The sequence below is a fragment of the Homo sapiens genome, chromosome 6, assembly GCF_000001405.40.
Source record: "Homo sapiens chromosome 6, GRCh38.p14 Primary Assembly".
Taxonomy (NCBI): Eukaryota; Metazoa; Chordata; class Mammalia; order Primates; family Hominidae; genus Homo; species Homo sapiens.
In genome coordinates, this window is record NC_000006.12 from 143,782,196 (window position 1) to 143,798,873 (window position 16,678).

Below are 16,678 nucleotides of genomic sequence, written 5' to 3' on the forward strand. Positions count from 1 at the left end.
AGCCTGGGTGACAGAGCGAGAATCCGTTTCAAAAAATAAAATAAAAATAAAAATAAATAAACAAATAGAAGAAGTTTTCCTTTTTCAACCTTTTGGTCAAGGCTTTATATGGTGTTATTTTCCTGCAAAAGAGTTCATAATAGCACTTTCTAAAACATAATCTTTCATAAGCATCGGTATCCAAGAAGCAAAATGTATGCTCACTGATCAAACAGATGATCAGCTAAACGAAGCAACAGAGAGATGTTCCTCAAGTAAGCAACAACCAGCAAAACCTGAAGGGGTGTTTATTTCTTTAAAAATTTTGGACATTTTTCTTTAAATCCCATCTGTTGGGCAGCATAAAATCGTACTACTTGGTGAATCACTAGAGAACGAGAAGACTTTGGAAAGGCAAAGTCACAAGAAAATAAATAATTTCCACCCAGAGTACATCATAACCTCATTTAGAACATTCTGGTTTGAAAGCAAAGTCCAAGGAAATGCTTACATTCTGCTTCTATGGAAACGAAGGAAGACAAATCAAATATTTTGGTTGGATTTGAGTGGAAATCAGCAGCTCAGACATGCATCGGATGGTTCTAATTTGCTCTTTTAATATGTCTCAGATTTTCACACGAAGGCCAGATCCAGAAGTAAATTTTTATCTGAATTCTGGTAAATTGTGCTTATAAGCCCATGAAATGATCAGCAATAGAGGGCTTTCATTAGAATATGGGCACTCCTGTGGTTTTTTTAAGAATACAACAAGACATCAGGAAGCAAAAACGTTTAAAATTAGTAAAGCAAACCAGTCCTACAAAAAAAGCATGTGTGTGTGTGTGTGTGTGTGTGTGTGTGTATGTGTGTGTGTGTGTAAGATGATCAACCTTCCTACAAAATATTTTGACAACTTTTTAACAATGTTGGTTGTGTGTTTGATCATTATTTGTTAGAGTCACATGATCGTGGCCTGATACACTTTTCTGAATATGAAATCATCTATAGTAACTGTCATCACGACTTTCCTCCTTTAATAAACAGAAAAGAATGAAGAAGAGGAACAAGAAGCAAAAATGGAACTTAAACGCAGACTCAGCAGAAAGGTAATGAAATCATAACTATTAATGAGCATATGTGTTTTGAGATATACTTTTAAAAAAAAATACTAATCCTCTCTGTATGTGTAAATCAGATGTTTAGAAATAATTATTCCTATTAGTCTATAATCATAGACATCAAAATCACAAGCCTGGGCAACATGGTGAAACCCTAGCTCTACAAAAAATAAAAAAATTAGCCGGCATGGTGGCACATGCCTGTAGTTCCAGCTACTCAGGAGGCTGAGGTGGGAAGATTGCTTCAGCCTGGGAGGCAGAGGTTGCTGTGACCTGATATCGTGCCACTGCACTCCAGGCTGGGAGACAGAATGAGACCCTGTCTCAAAAAAATGAAATAAAATAAAATAAAACAAATCAATATAATGCACATGCTATGAGTGATGTTTCTGATTGTGTGTTGTGCTAATTTTGAATAATTAACAAGGGTTTTAAGTTGCATTTACTCCATGAAAGTATGTACTCTGTGTGAAAATTTTTAAAGACACAAAAAAAGAAAAAAATAAAATCATGTCTTTCATTCAGAGACAGCCATTATTAACATTTCAATGCATGTATTTCCATTTTAAAAAATTGTTTTGAGTCAGGTGCAATGGCACGCACCTGTAGTCCCAGCTACTTGGAAGCTGAGGCAGGAGGATTGCTTGAGCCCAGGAGGTCAAGACCAGCCTGGACAACATAGTGAGACCTTGTTTCAAAAAAAAAGAATTAATTGAAAATTAATCTCGCTTGATTAGAACAATGAAAAAAAAAAAGAAAAAAAGAAGTGAAAAAAGTTTTTAATTATGATAAAAATTATTTCTTAAAATGCTCACACTTTCCATTTAGTGTTGGAAATATTAAACAAGTAAGTAATTTGTTACTCCTGAAGATTTCCCACTATTCCACATCACAGCTGGGTAAGTAATTTATTAAGTGAACTTGATCATCCAGCCTGCCTGCTACAGTGCTACCCAGATTGACAAATGTCTTACCTCCCAAACTCAGACAATTGTTGCCACTTATTTATGAATATATAAATCTGATGTTAGGGCCATCACTTTTTTCTGTGTTAAAGTAATAGCCTTTGGAAAAATCAAGCACCATCAGAGTTTATATTTCATTATAAATCCTTCTAATCATTCTTCAGGCATACCTTATGCACCTAAAAATGGATAAAGTGACTAAAATGTGACATCTACATGAAGTGTGACCTGACCCACATTTTTGTGGGCTGGCCAGGGAGTCTTCAACAAAAGCATTCCAAGGCAGATGGAGGCAATGCTTCATTCCCACAGAAAAGCTATGGGACTATGTTGAAAGTGTTTGGTTCTGTTTTTCAAGGAAAAACATCCTTAATTTATCCATTGTATTAGTCCATTTTCACACTGCTGATAAAGACACACCTGAGACTGGGAAGAAAAAGAGATTTAATTGGACTTATAGTTCCACATGGCTGGGGAGGCCTCAGAATCATGGCAGGAGGCAAAAGGCTCTTCTAACATGGTGGCGGCAAAAGAAAATGAGGAGGGGAAGCAAAACTGGAAACCCCTGATAAACACATCAGATCTTGTGAGACTTTTTGACTATCACAAGAATAGAATGGGAAAGACCGAGCCCCATGATTCAATTACCTCTTCCTGGGTCCCTCCCACAACACATGGGAATTCTGGGAGATACAATTCAAGTTGAGATTTGGGTGGGGACACAGCCAAACCATATCATTCTGCCCCTGGCCCCTCCAAATCTCATGTCCTCACATTTCAAAACCAATCATGCCTTCCCAACAGTCCACCAAAGTCTTAACTCATTTCGGCAGTATCCCAAAATCCACAGTCCAAAGTCTCATCTGAGACAAGGCAAATCCCTTCCACCCATGAGCCTGTAAAATCAAAAGCAAGCTAGTTACTTCCTAGATAAAATGCGGGTACAGGCATTGGGTAAATACAGCTAGCTGTTCCAAATGGGAGATATTGGCCAAAACAAAGGGGTTGCAGGGCCCATGGCAAGTCTGAAATCCAGTGGGGCAGCCAAATTTTAAAGGTCCAAAATTATCTCCTTTGAATCCAGGTCTCACATCCAGGTCACACTGATGCAAGAGGTGGGTTCCCATGGTCTTGGGCAGCTCCACCTCTGTGGCTTTGCAGGGTACAGCCTCCCTCTTGGCTGCTTTCACAGACTAGTGTTGAGTGTCTGCAGCTTTTCTAGACACATGGTGCATGCTGTTGGTGGATCTACCATTCTGGGTTCTGGAGGACAGTGACCCTCTTTGCACAGCTCCACTAGGCAGTGCCCCAGTAGGGACTCTGTGTGGGGGTTCCAACCCCACATTTCCCTTCTGCACTGCCCTAGCAGAGGTTCTCCATGAGCCCCACCCCACCCCCAACCCTGCCCATGGCAAACTTTGGCCTGGGCATCTAGACAGAGGTTCCCAAACCTCAGTTTCTGACTTCTTTTCACCCACAAGCTCAACACCATATGGAAGCTGCCAAGGCTTGGGGCTTCCACGATCTGAAGCCACAGCCCAAGTTCTACATTTGCCCCTTTCAGCCACAGCTGGAGTGGCTGGGGCACAGGGCACCAAGTCCCTAGGCTGCACACAGCACAGGGACCCTGGGCCCTGCCCACAAAACCACTTTTTCCTCCTGGGCCTTCAGGCCTGTGATGGGAGGAGCTGTCATGAAGGTCTCTGACATGGCCTGGAGACATTTTCCCCATGGTCTTGAGGATTAACATTAGCTTCCTTGCTACTTAGGCAAATTTCTGCAGCCAGCTTGAATTTCTCCTCAAAAAATGGGTTCTTTTCTGCTGCATCCTCAGGCTGCAAATTTTCTGAACTTTTATGCTCTGTTTCCCTTTTAAAATGGAATGCTTTTAACAGCACCCAAGTCACCTTTTGAATGCTTTGCTGCTTAGAAATTTCTTCTGCCAGATACCCTAAATCATCTCTCTCAAGTTCAAAGTTCCACGAATCTCTAGGGCAGGGGCAAAATGCCGCCATTCTTTTTGCTAAAACATAATAAGAGTCACCTTTGCTCCAGTTCCCAACAAGTTCCTTATCTCCATCTGAGACCACCTCAGCCTGGACCTTATTGTCCATATTGCTATCAGCATTTTTGTCAAAGCCATTTAACAAGTCTCTAGGAAGTTCCAAACTTTCCCACCTTTTCCTATCTTCTTCTGAGCCTTCCAAACTGTTCCAACATCTGCCTGTTACCCAGTTCCAAAGTTGATTCCACATTTTTGGGTATCTTTTCAGGAACACCCCACTCCTGGTACCAACTTACTGTATTAGTCTGTTTCCATGCTGCTGATAAAGGCATACCCTAGACTGGGAAGAAAAAGAGGTTTAATTGGACTTACAGTTCCACATGGCTGGGGAGGCCTCAGAATCCTGACAGGAGGCAAAAGGCATTTCTTACATTGTGGCAGCAAGATAAAATGAGGAGAAAGCAAAAGCAGAAACCCTTGATAAACCCATCAGATCTCATGAGACTCATTCACTATCACGAGAATAGCATGGGAAAGACCAGCCCCCATGATTCAATTACCTCCCCCTGGGTCCCTCCCACAACATGTGGGAATTCTGGAGATACAATTCAAGTTGAGATTTGGGTGAGGACACCGCCAAACCATATCATTTTTTTTTCTCAAAGCTCATAAATGTCAAATAATGATCAAACTGAAAGACTTTATTGACTCAATTTCTAGGGATGACTCTAGTTTTCAATGGCCCTTAAGTTACCATCTGTAGACAATCAATCACCCCCTCCTTATTGCCCTGGGCACAGTCTTGTGATACAAATCATCTTTCTCAATCCAGCTGGGCCCCTCCATGAGGCAGCAGTGCCAGCCCTTACCCTCTGCACCCACTTGCCTCCACCATACATAGCTCCATGCCGTAGGTGCAGGTCAGCCCGTAGCACTGGTAGCTACCCCATGACTGGGACAGTCCTGAGGACAAGACTGGATGGAGAATTTCTAACCTATATTGCCATTGGTCACTTTCCTTCTAGCCAGTTCTTAGGAGCAAGGGCTTCTCTACCTCCTTATTTCCACCTGCCCCAAAGTGGCAGCAAGAAGCTAGCAATATAGATTGGACAGCAACTAGACTATAGCAGATCACTTAGATTATTCTTTCTCTTGTCCATTGCCTACCGGGGCTCTATGAAGATAGAGGGAGCCATAGTTGGCACATCCCTGCTCCAGTGGGCTCAGGGTATGGGCCTAGGCCTTCTAAAAGTCCTTGAGTGCTTTGAATATTACAGTATTGGCTTAGTTCAGAAGGAAACTGAGGCCCAGGAAAGGGCTGTTAATGACTACAGAATGTAGACCCAGTGCAAAATAAGGAATATCTCTGGACAGGTGTTGTGGCTTATGCCTGTAACCCCAGCACTTTGGGAGGCTGAGATGGGAGAATCGCTTGAGCCCAAGAGTTCAAGACCAGCCTGAGCAACATAGAGAGACCCCCCACCCACTCTGTTTAAATAAAAAAAAAATAAGCAATATCTCCGGAGAGGACCACTTAGATGATGGGTAGTCTGGCTGTATACAGAGTATATATAAGAGAGGAAATATATGAAAATGGGCCCTATGGCTACAATAGAGGTCTAAGTCTACCTCTCTGGAGATAACTGTGATACCACCCAACTAAGAAAGACCAAAATGGGAGTGAACCTCCGTAGCAGAGAGTAGATAATGCCTGTTTACCAAGGGGCCAGCTTTCTTTCACCTGTCAGAGTCTTATTCTTCGGTTTGAGAAAGGACCCAGAAAGAAAAGCAATATAATTACAAATCTGAATTTGACAAAGACCACAAGGAGGAACCGAAGTTGTTAGAAGTATCTTAAAGGTTGGAGTTGATTTTAAGCAGTGATGGCCTCAAGGAAGTACAGTTCTCCATCAACTCTCCCCTCCCCATTCGTGTACATCGGTTTTTCTGGCCAAGGGCATGTGTCTGATTGGGGTCTTGTCCTTATTATGAATATCTTAAGGACAGCTGTGCTGTAGGCACACCCTTTATTGGACCCTTTCTATGTCATAACTTTGTACATTTCTGAGTGTATGGGCTTAATATTATAGGAACAGGTTTTTATTCCCATTTCTAAAAATTCCATGGCTTTTGCCTTGATAATTCAATCACCAAACCAGCCATTCTGTATCTGGGTTACTATTGTGTCTGCGCATTGCATGTTCCTTGCGTCAGGGATGATAGACCTTTATCACAGTGCCAGGCAAGTTGGGGAAAATAGCATAATGCAGGTGGTTGCCAAAGACTGTGACCTATCTAAAACGATGATTTTTTTATAGTCTCAAAAATTAGGGCACATGGCTTTCTAGTTCTCATTAGAAATTCCCAAGATGCTGTTGCCTTTTTTTTTTTTTTTGATCTGAAAGTGACCTTATTTAACCATAACTTTGAAGTGTTCTCTATAGAAAACTTGCCACCATGAGGCTGTAAGTGGTTTACTGAACTCTGCCTTTTTCCTTGTCCTCCTGCAGCTCAGCCTGAGACCCACAGTGGCAGAGCTACAAGCTCGAAGGATCCTGCGATTTAACGAGTATGTAGAAGTCACGGATTCTCCTGACTATGACCGCCGAGCAGACAAGCCCTGGGCCAGGTTAACACCTGCAGACAAGGCAAGAATCCCAGTGGATTTTGTGTTGATTGTATTGCTTTTCTGGAAGCTCCAATATCCACATCCCCCCTACTTAAGTCATCCCAGGGGACGAGATCTTACCAAATATTACAACAGTTTTCTGCCTCTGATTATTTAAGCCACTTAAGTGATACATTTAGTGATATCAATGTAGTTCTTTCAACTAAGTCTCAGAGAAAAGTAGTTATTTACCATATAACCTACCTGCTTTCATACCTGGATGAGGAGGGCTTTCTCACATCCAGGATTTATCCTTACTCTTAGAAAATATAACTTATACAACTTATCATTTTAAAGGGATATGTTAATAGAAAGGTTTAATCTTCGTCGAGACTGGCACACTTTTAATAGAAATGACAAGACAGCAAATAGTTTAGGCTATGTGGGCCATACAATCTTTGTTGCAACTGCCCAGTTCTGCCATTGTAGCATGAAAACAGCCACAGACAATGTGTAATTGAATGGATATGTATATGCTCCAATAAAACTTTATCTACAAAAACAGATGGTGGGCCAAATTTGACCTGCAGGTCAGGCTTACCAACCCCTAATCTAAATCATTGCACACAATTCCTGAAAAATGAAATATACAGTGGGTTCTATCAATGTAGAAAGACTTTTACCTTATTAGTACCATTGTTCCATAGGCAAAGATTCGTGCCAACCGTTTGTTTTTAAATTGTTCTAATTTTTATCTCTTAGCAAAATCTGGTATTGAATAAACTCGTGCTATACCCAGTTTTTTTTAATCATAAGTACTTTTGCTTAAACATGCCACATCTTAATGCTAAAACTAGGCATTTAATCATGCTCTGTGCTGACTCTTTTTAATAGGAAGCTTCATTATTTAAAATACCTGCTATGCATCAAGCATATACTGGAGATACAGATTCAGAAATCCTTAGCTCATAAGTAGAAATGAAAAGTAAGAAGGAATAAGATCACAAAGGAAGAATGTTCAGAACAAGAATAGAAGAGAAGGAGGCTGAGAAAAGCACTCCAGGGATGTTTTAGGAAGAAGCAGCAGAAGAATATTGAGAAGAAATGTCCGTGAAGTGGGGAAAGAGGAGAAGCTGGTAGCACAGCAGCTTGGAAGGACTGTGTCAGGGAGGACGGACGGCCACATGTGTGCAGTGACATGGTGAGAGGGAGCATTTTGGTGGCCTGATGGGTGGAAGCCTGTGGTGGAGACAACGAGGATCAAACACAATCCTGAGAATTTGGGCTCTGAAGTATGATGAGGCAGTTGTTCAACGTATGGCTGGTGATTGTGAAGGTCAATAAGCTTGGGTGCGTAAATTTGGAAAATGAGATACAGTATCAAGGGAGTGATTTTTTTTTAATTTATGGGAAATACTTGAACAATTTTTTATGTGGTGAAGGGGTCAAAAGAAAGGGAGAGGTTGAACATACAGGCGGAAAAGTCAGTAACTGATAGCGTGGGAAAAATCACTGGAGTAGCAGGTCAGTACTTATGTGAAAGAGGCAAGGAGCAGACCCTTGAGGACGGAGGGAGAGCACAGGCTGAGGAAGCTAGGAAGTCGTATCTCATTGTGCTTTTACTTTGCCTTTCGTTCATTATGAATGAGATTGAACATATTTTCATATGCCTATTGGGCATTTGGATACCACTCCACCGAAGTGCCTTTTGCCCATTTTCTTTTGGGTTGTCAATTTTTTCTGATTCATAGGAGTTCTTCATATATTCCAGTTATGTATGTTGCAAATATTGATTTAACAAGATTCTTTTTTTTTTTTTTTGAGACGGAGTCTCACTCTGTCACCCAGGCTGGAGTGCTGTGGCTCGATCTCAGCTCACTGCAAGCTCCACCTCCTGTGTTCACGCCATTCTCCTGCTTCAGCCTCCCGAGTGGCTGGGACTACAGGCGCCCGCCACCACGCCCAGCTATTTTTTACAAAATATTTTTAGTAGAGATGGGGTTTCACCGTGTTAGCCAGGATGGTCTCCATCTCCTGACATTGTGATCTGCCCGCCTCGGCCTCCCAAAGTGCTGGGATTACAGGCGTGAGCCATGGCGCCCGGCCAACAAGATTCTTAAACTTAATACAGTCGAATTTATCAACCTTTTTCTTTATGGCTTATGATTTTGTTTCTGGTTTTAAAAATTCTTTGCATACCAAAATGATAGATATATTCTCATATACTGTCTTCTAAATTGTTTATAATTTTGCTTTTCACATTTAACTTTTTTGTTTACCTGGAGTTGTTTTTTGGGGGAAGGTATAAGATATGCTTTCAGTTTGCTTGGTCATCTGTATTATATGTTTGTTTTCTATGTCATTATTTGTTCTTTTCTCTTCTTCCTCCTAATTTTTTGGGCTTTATTGGCTATTCTGTTCTAACCTAAGATAGACTCTCCAGATCATTAATTTTCATCCTTCCTTACTTTCTGATACAAGCACTGAAGGTTAGAAATGACTCTGTGTGTCAGTGATTTGCAACCTTGGCTACAAATTGGAATCACCTATAGATCTTTAAGAATGTGGATGTCTGGGTCCCATCTCCAGAGATGCTGATCTCATTGGTCTGGGATGTGGCCTTCATATTGGGATTTTTAGTAATTATAAATATCTCACATGTCCTTGAAAACAATATGTGTTCTATGGTTTGAGGGTGTGCAAATTTTCCTGTAAGATCAATCTTGCTAGTTCTATTCAGATTTCTGTACCCTTAGTTATTTTTTTGTCAGTTTGATCCATCAGGTAACAAACAAGACATGTTAAATCTCCCACTATGTGGATTTTTTTTTTTACTTCTCCTTATAATTCTGTTAATTTTGCTTCATTTATTGTGAGGTGTATCATTAGATATATATGTTTAGAATGCATACATTTTCTTGATGAAACTTTGTTATATTTAAAAATATAATTTTTAAACTGGATTGTCAAAATGAGTTATTTTATACTACCTTAGTACTATGAATTGAAGCAGCAAACCTCTGTGATGTTTAGCTGATGGCTTCAAATTTTCAGGGTACATTTCATCACTCCCTGCCTATCCCCTTACTTACTAAGCACCAGCTTGCAATTTTTTGTTTGTCCTTGGAGGGTCAGATATTCTAGCTTACCCTTACACTGAGGGTATGCCATTTGGTCCCCAATTTATGGAGAGAGAATTATTTATTAGACCTGAGTGGGTTTTGTGTGTCTTCTGTATTTCACCAAATCATAAAGATGCCTGCTCAAATTCACTAGATTTAACACAAGTGCCCTCAAGGTCAAAGCCAGTTTCATTTCTCACTTACCTTATTTTTCTGGCCATGATCTTCTTTTACTCATTCTCATCAAAGTATTTTTTACTCTTTTCCCAGCTGTTTAGTACATTTAAAGCAGTTTTTAGATGCCATGTTTAGCATTTTAATTGTTTTTCAATAGAAGAGTTAGTCAAGGCATCTGGTATGCCATTTTGCTAGAAATAGTACTGCATTATGAACTTGGTGCAAGGTTTCTTCCATCCTCCTTTCCTTTCAGTTGTGGGCTTCTGGTCATTCACCTCTCATTTAGTGGCTCCTAGTTGACCCTGCTCTAGTCACTGTTTCTGTGCAGTGACCTTCCCCAAAACTTAGTGATTGAAAACAGCAGCTATTTTATATCTTACAGATTTTGTAGGTTGGGGATTTAGTCAGGGCTCAGCTAGGTGATTCTTCTGCTCTTCATGAGGTTGACTAAGGTCACTCAATGTTATTCAGCTGACAAATAGGCTACTTTGGAGGCTCCAAGATAACCTCTCTAACATGTCTGGTGTCTTGGTAAGGAAGGCTCAGAGACTGGGCTCAATTCTGGCTCCTAGTCCGCCAAACTACCTATACATGGCCTCTTCAGCATGGTGGCCCGAGTCATCAGTCTTCTTACTTGGTGGCTCAGCAAATGTCCCAAGAGAACCAGGTAAAAGCTATATGGCCTTTCCTGATCTGGCTTTGGAAGGCATCCAGCCTCACTTCCACTACGTTCTATTAGTAACAGGCAAATCATAAGACCAGCTCAAGCTTCAAGGAAAGGGGAATTAATTAGCTCCACTTCTTGACAGGGGAGTGGCAAGATCACAATTGTGGCCAAATTTGGAAAATACAATTTTCCACACCCACCATTCCCAGCTATCTTATTATTCAAATGCAAAACTTCAGAAAGGCAGGTAGGGCCAGATAAATGAGTAAAGATCACTGCAGTTGCCAAGTATGCAAGCAGGGAGAGTCTAAATGACTAACCACCCTCATGTGGAAACTAAATTGTCCAAACCCTAGAAACAGTTCCTTTTGACTCTTGTTCTTTTGTTGGAAGGTAAAGCTCATTCATCTCTAGCTGTAACAGAGAGGATTTTTTTTTTTAATTTTATGTTGAAACAAAAATGGGATTTTGTTCTGGACTTCTAGGTTGCAGGGGAAAGGTACATGACCAGGTTTTCTGCCACAGGCTTTGTTTCTGTTCATGAGTGCTTTGAAGGCATATGACTTTGACATCTCCCTTGCAGATCTGAGCCCCAGAGCACAGCCACTGCCCCTCTCTCCTCACACATGGGCCTCATTTTCTCCCTCTGACAGTATCTCTCACATTTCTCCTGAGGCTTTTTAAAGTCTAAAAAGCAGCATTTTTAGAAGTGGATTTTTATTGTGTATGTGTGTGTTTCTCTGGAAGAAAATTAAGAGGTAGAATTTCTTTTAAATAGAAAAAATATTGGCCAGGCATGGTGGCTCATGCCTGTAATCCTAGCACTTTGGGAGGCCAAGGTTTCTTGAGCTCAAGATTTCTTGAGCTCAGGAGTTTGAGACCAGCCTGAGCAATGTGGTGAAACTCTGCCTCTACTAAAAAATACAAAAAATTAGCCGGGTGTGGTGGCGCGTACCTGTAGTCCCAGCTACTCGGGAAGCTGAGGTGGGAGAATTGCTTGAGCCCAGGAGCAGGAGGCTGCAGTGAGCCATGCCACGGCACTCCAGCCTGGGCAACAGAGCTAGACCTTATCTCAAAATAAATAAATAAATAAATAATATGGTACACTTTTTAAAGATAAAAAATAGAAAAATGCAACAATTTAAGATGTTTATGTGTAGTATATTGTATATACACAAGTGATGAATATTCATTGGGCCATATCTGAATATTCAAAAATGCAAAAATAAAAAAAGAACCACTTTAATGCACGGTACTTTTAATAATTTCTAAAAATACCATTTACTACCTAACACTGAAAAAAATTGTTCCCTCTAGTTGTTAAAAGATAAGTGTGATGAAATAGTACAATATTATTGCCCAAAGATCCTAAGACTATCAATGGTCTTAGTGTATATTTTATTTTAGAATGAAAATAACACATGCTAATCACCATTATTAACAAGCATTTCTGGTTTTTGTTGCTTTTTACCTTAAAACATTTTATAATATATTATTTATTATATATATTTAGATCAGATTTAAAATATTGTATTAAGTTAATTCATGTAAAAATTATAATTTAGCTATTAGGTTTAAAAATGAGTTTTATTTTTAACTTTTGAGCTCTATATCCCATTTTTAAAAACTATTCAAAGTAAATATTTCCACCTCTGCTTTAAAAAATAAACAATGAGGCCAGGTGCAGTGGCTCATGCCTGTAATCCAAGTGCTTTGAGAGGGTGAGTTGGGTGGATCACTTGAGGTCAGGAGTTCAAGACCAGCCTGGCCAACATGGTGAAACCCCATCTCTACTAAAAATACAAAAATTAGCTGTGCATGGTGGCTCCTGCCTGTAGTCCCAGCTGCTTGGGAGACTGAAGCAGGAGAATCACTTGAACCCAGGAGACAGAAGTTGCAGTGAGCTAAGATTATGCCGCCGCACTCCAGCCTGGGTGACAAAGCGAGACTCCATCTCAAAAACTGAACCAAACCAAACAAACAAACAAACAAAAAATGAGCTTCCTTTCAGCCTAAAGGAGACATCTTTTTTCTTTCTCTTATCTTAGTGCCATTTTCTTAGCCCCATTAAGCTACCACCTTGCATTTTAAAGAGTAGTAGCCAATCAGTCAGTAATTAATCAATGCCTCTCCTTTCTGTGAAGGAGGAAGGCCCTTGCTGGTTGTGGTGGGGAATCTCCGGAATCTGGTAGTCTGGTTAAATGGCTCATGTTGGAAAAGAGAAGTGGTGGGAGAAATGCCTTATTAATTGTGAACTTGATTGAGCTTTATTCACCTTTAAAATAAAATTTTCAGGTCGGGGCACAATGACTCACACTTGTAATGTTAGCACTTTGGGAGGCCAAGGTGGGAGGGTCACTTGAGGCCAGGAGTTAAAGACCAGCCTGAGCAACATAGCAAGACCCTCTCTCTACAAAAACTAAAAAAATTAGCCAGGTGTGGTGGCACACCCATGTATTCCTACCTACTTGGAAGGCTGAGGCAGGAGGATCCCTTGAGTCTGGGAGTTCAAGACTGCAATGAGCTGTGATTGTGCCACTGCACTGCAGCCTGGGCAACAGAATGAGACCCTGTCTCTAAAACAAAAATAAACAAAATAAAATTTTCAGTTTTAGAATATATGTACTTAGAGCACTAGAAACAGATATATGTACAGTAAAATAGAGATGGCCTGGTTTCCTGCACTGAGGTAGATAGACGAGCTGGCCCTTCAGTGGCAGAGAGGTGAGGTCAGAGAAGGCCATTGAATTGGCCTGAAGACCTAGGCTTGCCTGCCAGTAACCATCTCCTTAGAGTAGAACTTGGAAGCTCCATGGAGGAGAGAGGGGCAGGCTTTAGAACTGGGCACTTCTAGGATGGATTGATCCTTGACTTGGCCACTTAGTAGTTGTTTGACCTTGGCCAAGTCATTTAACCTAGGTTTACTTACTAGTAAAATAAAGTCAATTATATCTATCTTGAGAATTAGGTAGAATATCTCTAGAATTCCTGCTTGTCAATAAATGGTAGCTATTACCAATATTATACTCATAGTCAGGGATGAGAAGCCAAGCTTTGTTCCCCATTGGTGATATTTTCACCGTTGATTCCTGAGTTTACGATCTAGTCTAAAATTATCCAGTGAAAGAGAGTGTAGAATTTTTTCAGATGAGATGTGCTTTTGTCCAACAGGTCACTCAGTAATCACTTATTAAAACCCTTACAATATATTAGGTATCGTCCTAGATACTGGGGATATAAAATTGAATAAGACAAACTGTCTTTCCAGGAACACAGTGTCTAAACAGGTCCTAAGAAAGCCTGAGATTTTTGTTGTCCCTAAGCTATTCTTTGCCCTGTTCATTGATGCCTTAGCAGCAGAAGGGAGTACACTTGCCTCCCTGTGGCATTGAACTTGATTGATGAGTAGTCCAGAAATCCTCTCCACATCCCATCATAATTTTATCCAAGAAATAAAGGATATCAAAATGGCAATTCTAGTTAATTCTGGCCCCACAGCTCATGCTATTTGAGAAGGCAGCAAGGTCTGCATTTTCTTTTTCTTTTCTTTCTTTCTTTCTTTCTTTCTTTCTTTCTTTCTTTGTTTTTATTATACTTTAAGTTCTGGGTTACATGTGCAGAACGTGTAGGTTTGTTACATAGGTATACACGTGCCATGGTGGTTTGCTGCACCCATCAACCCATCACCTACATTAGGTATTTCTCCTAATATTATCCCTCCCCTAGTCCCCCACCCCCTACAGGCCCCAGTGTGTGATGTTCCCCTCCCTGTGTCCATGTGTTCTTATTGTTCAACTCCCACTTATGAGTGAGAACATGCGGTGTTTGGTTTTCTGATCTTGTGATAGTTTGCTGAGAATGATGGTTTCCAGCTTCATCCGTGTCCCTGCAAAGGACATCAACTCATCCTTTTTTATGGCTGCATAGTGTTCCATGGTGTATATGTGCCACATTTTCTTAATCCAGTCTATCACTGATGGACATATGGGTTGGTTCCATGTCTTTGCTATTGTGAATAGTGCCTCAGTAAACATACATGTGCATGTGTCTTTATTGTAGAATAATTTCTAATCCTTTGGGTATACATCCAGTAATGGAATTGCTGGGTCAAGTGGTATTTCTAGTTCTAGATCCTTGAGGAATCGCCACACTGTCTTCCAAATGGTTGAACTAATTTACACTCCCACTAACAGCGTAAAAGCATTCCTATTTCTCCACATCCTCTCCAGCATCTGTTGTTTCCTGACTTTTGAATGATCGCCATTCTAACTGGCATGAGATGGTATCTCATTCTGGTTTTGATTTGCATTTCTCTCATGACCAGTGATGATGAGCATCTTTTCATATGTCTGTTGGCTGCATAAATGTCTTCATTTGAGAAGTTTCTGTTCATATCCTTAGCCCATTTTTTGATGGGGTTGTTTGCTTTTTTCTTGTAAATTTGTTTAAGTTCTTTGTAGATTCTGGATATTAGCCCTTTGTCAGATGAATAGATTGCAAAAATTTTCTCCCATTCTGTAGGTTGCCTGTTCACTCTGGTGATAATTTCTTTTGCTGTGCAGAAACTCTTCAGTTTAATTAGATCCCCGTTTGTCAATTTTGGCTTTTGTTGCCGTTTGCTTTTGGCGTTTTAGACATGAAGTCTTTGCCCATGCCTATGTCCTGAATGGTATTGCCCAGGTTTTCTTCTAGGATTTTTATGGTCCTAGGTCTTACATTTAAGTCTTTGATCCATCTTGAGTTGATTTTTGTATAAGGTGTAAGGAAGGGGTCCAGTTCCAGTTTTCTGCATATGGCCAGCCAGTTTTCCCAACACCGTTTATTAAATAGGGAATCTTCCCCATCGCTTGTATGTGTCAGGTTTGTCAAAGATCAGGTGGTGGATGTGTGGTGTTATTTCTCCGTTCTGTTCCATCAGTCTGTGTATCTGTTTTGGCACCAGTACCATGCTGTTTTGGTTACTGTAGCCTTGTAAAGTTTGTAGTCAGGTAGCAAGATGCCTCCAGCTTTGTCCTTCTTGCCCAGGATTGTCTTGGATATGCGAGCTCTTTTTTGGTTCCATATGAGGTTTAAAGTAGTTTTTTCCAATTCTGTGAAGAAAGTCAGTGGTAGCTGGATGGGGATAGCATTGAATCTGTAAATTACTTTGGGCAGTAAGGCCATTTTCACGATATTGATTCTTCCTATCCATGAGCATGGAATGTTTTTCCATTTGTTTCTGTCCTCTCTTATTTCCTTGAGCAGTGGTTTGTAGTTCTCCTTGAAGAGGTCCTTCATATCCCTTGTAAGTTGTGTCCCTACGTATTTTATTCTCTTTGTAGCAATTGTGAATGGGAGTTCACTCATGATTTGGCTCTCTGTTTGTCTGTTATTGATGTATAGGAATGCTTGTGATTTTTGCACATTGATTTTGTATCCTGAGACTTTGCTGAAGTTGCTTATCAGCTTCAGGAGATTTTGGGCTGAGACGATGGGGTTTTCCAAATATACAGTCATGTCGTCTGCAAACAAAGATAATTGGACTTCCTCTCTTCCTATTTGAATACCTTTTATTGCTTTCTCTTGCCTGATTGCCCTGGCCAGAACTTCCAACATTATGTTGAATAGGAGTGGTGAGAGAGGTCATCCTTGTCTTGTGCCGGTTTTCAAAGGGAATGCTTCCAGTGTTTGTCCATTCAGTATGATATTGTCTGTGGGTTTGTCATAAACAGCTCTTATTATTTTGAGATACGTTCCATCGATACCTAGTTTAGCATGAAAGGCTGTTGAATTTTGTCCAAGGCCTTTTCTGCATCTATTGAGATAATCATGTGGTTTTTGTCATTGGTTCTGTTTATGTGATGGATTATGTTTATTGATTTGTGTATGTTGAACCAGCCTTGCATTGCAGGGATGAAGCTGACTTGATCATGGTGGATCAGCTTTTTGATGTTCTGCTGGATTGGGTTTGCCAGTATTTTACTGAGGATTTTTGCACTGATGTTCATCGGGGATATTGGCCTAAAATTCTCTCTTTTTGTTGTGTCTCTGCCAGGCT

General features: G+C 40.5%; 1 protein-coding gene across 8 annotated transcripts in view; it reads left to right on the forward strand.

The window, feature by feature from the left end:
- Positions 1-16,678, forward strand: part of PHACTR2 (phosphatase and actin regulator 2) — a 294,308-nt gene that overhangs the window by 245,318 nt on the left and 32,312 nt on the right. For 6 of the 8 annotated variants that reach the window (NM_001394736.1, NM_014721.3, NM_001100166.2 and 3 more), the window contains 2 exons: positions 1,024-1,085; positions 6,578-6,715. In NM_001394736.1, the coding sequence (NP_001381665.1) occupies positions 1,024-1,085; positions 6,578-6,715 (200 nt within the window). Of the gene's footprint in view, positions 1-1,023; positions 1,086-6,577; positions 6,716-7,569; positions 8,026-16,678 lie in introns of all 8 variants that reach the window. The other 2 variants (NR_172204.1, NR_172205.1) reach the window with 1 other exon arrangement.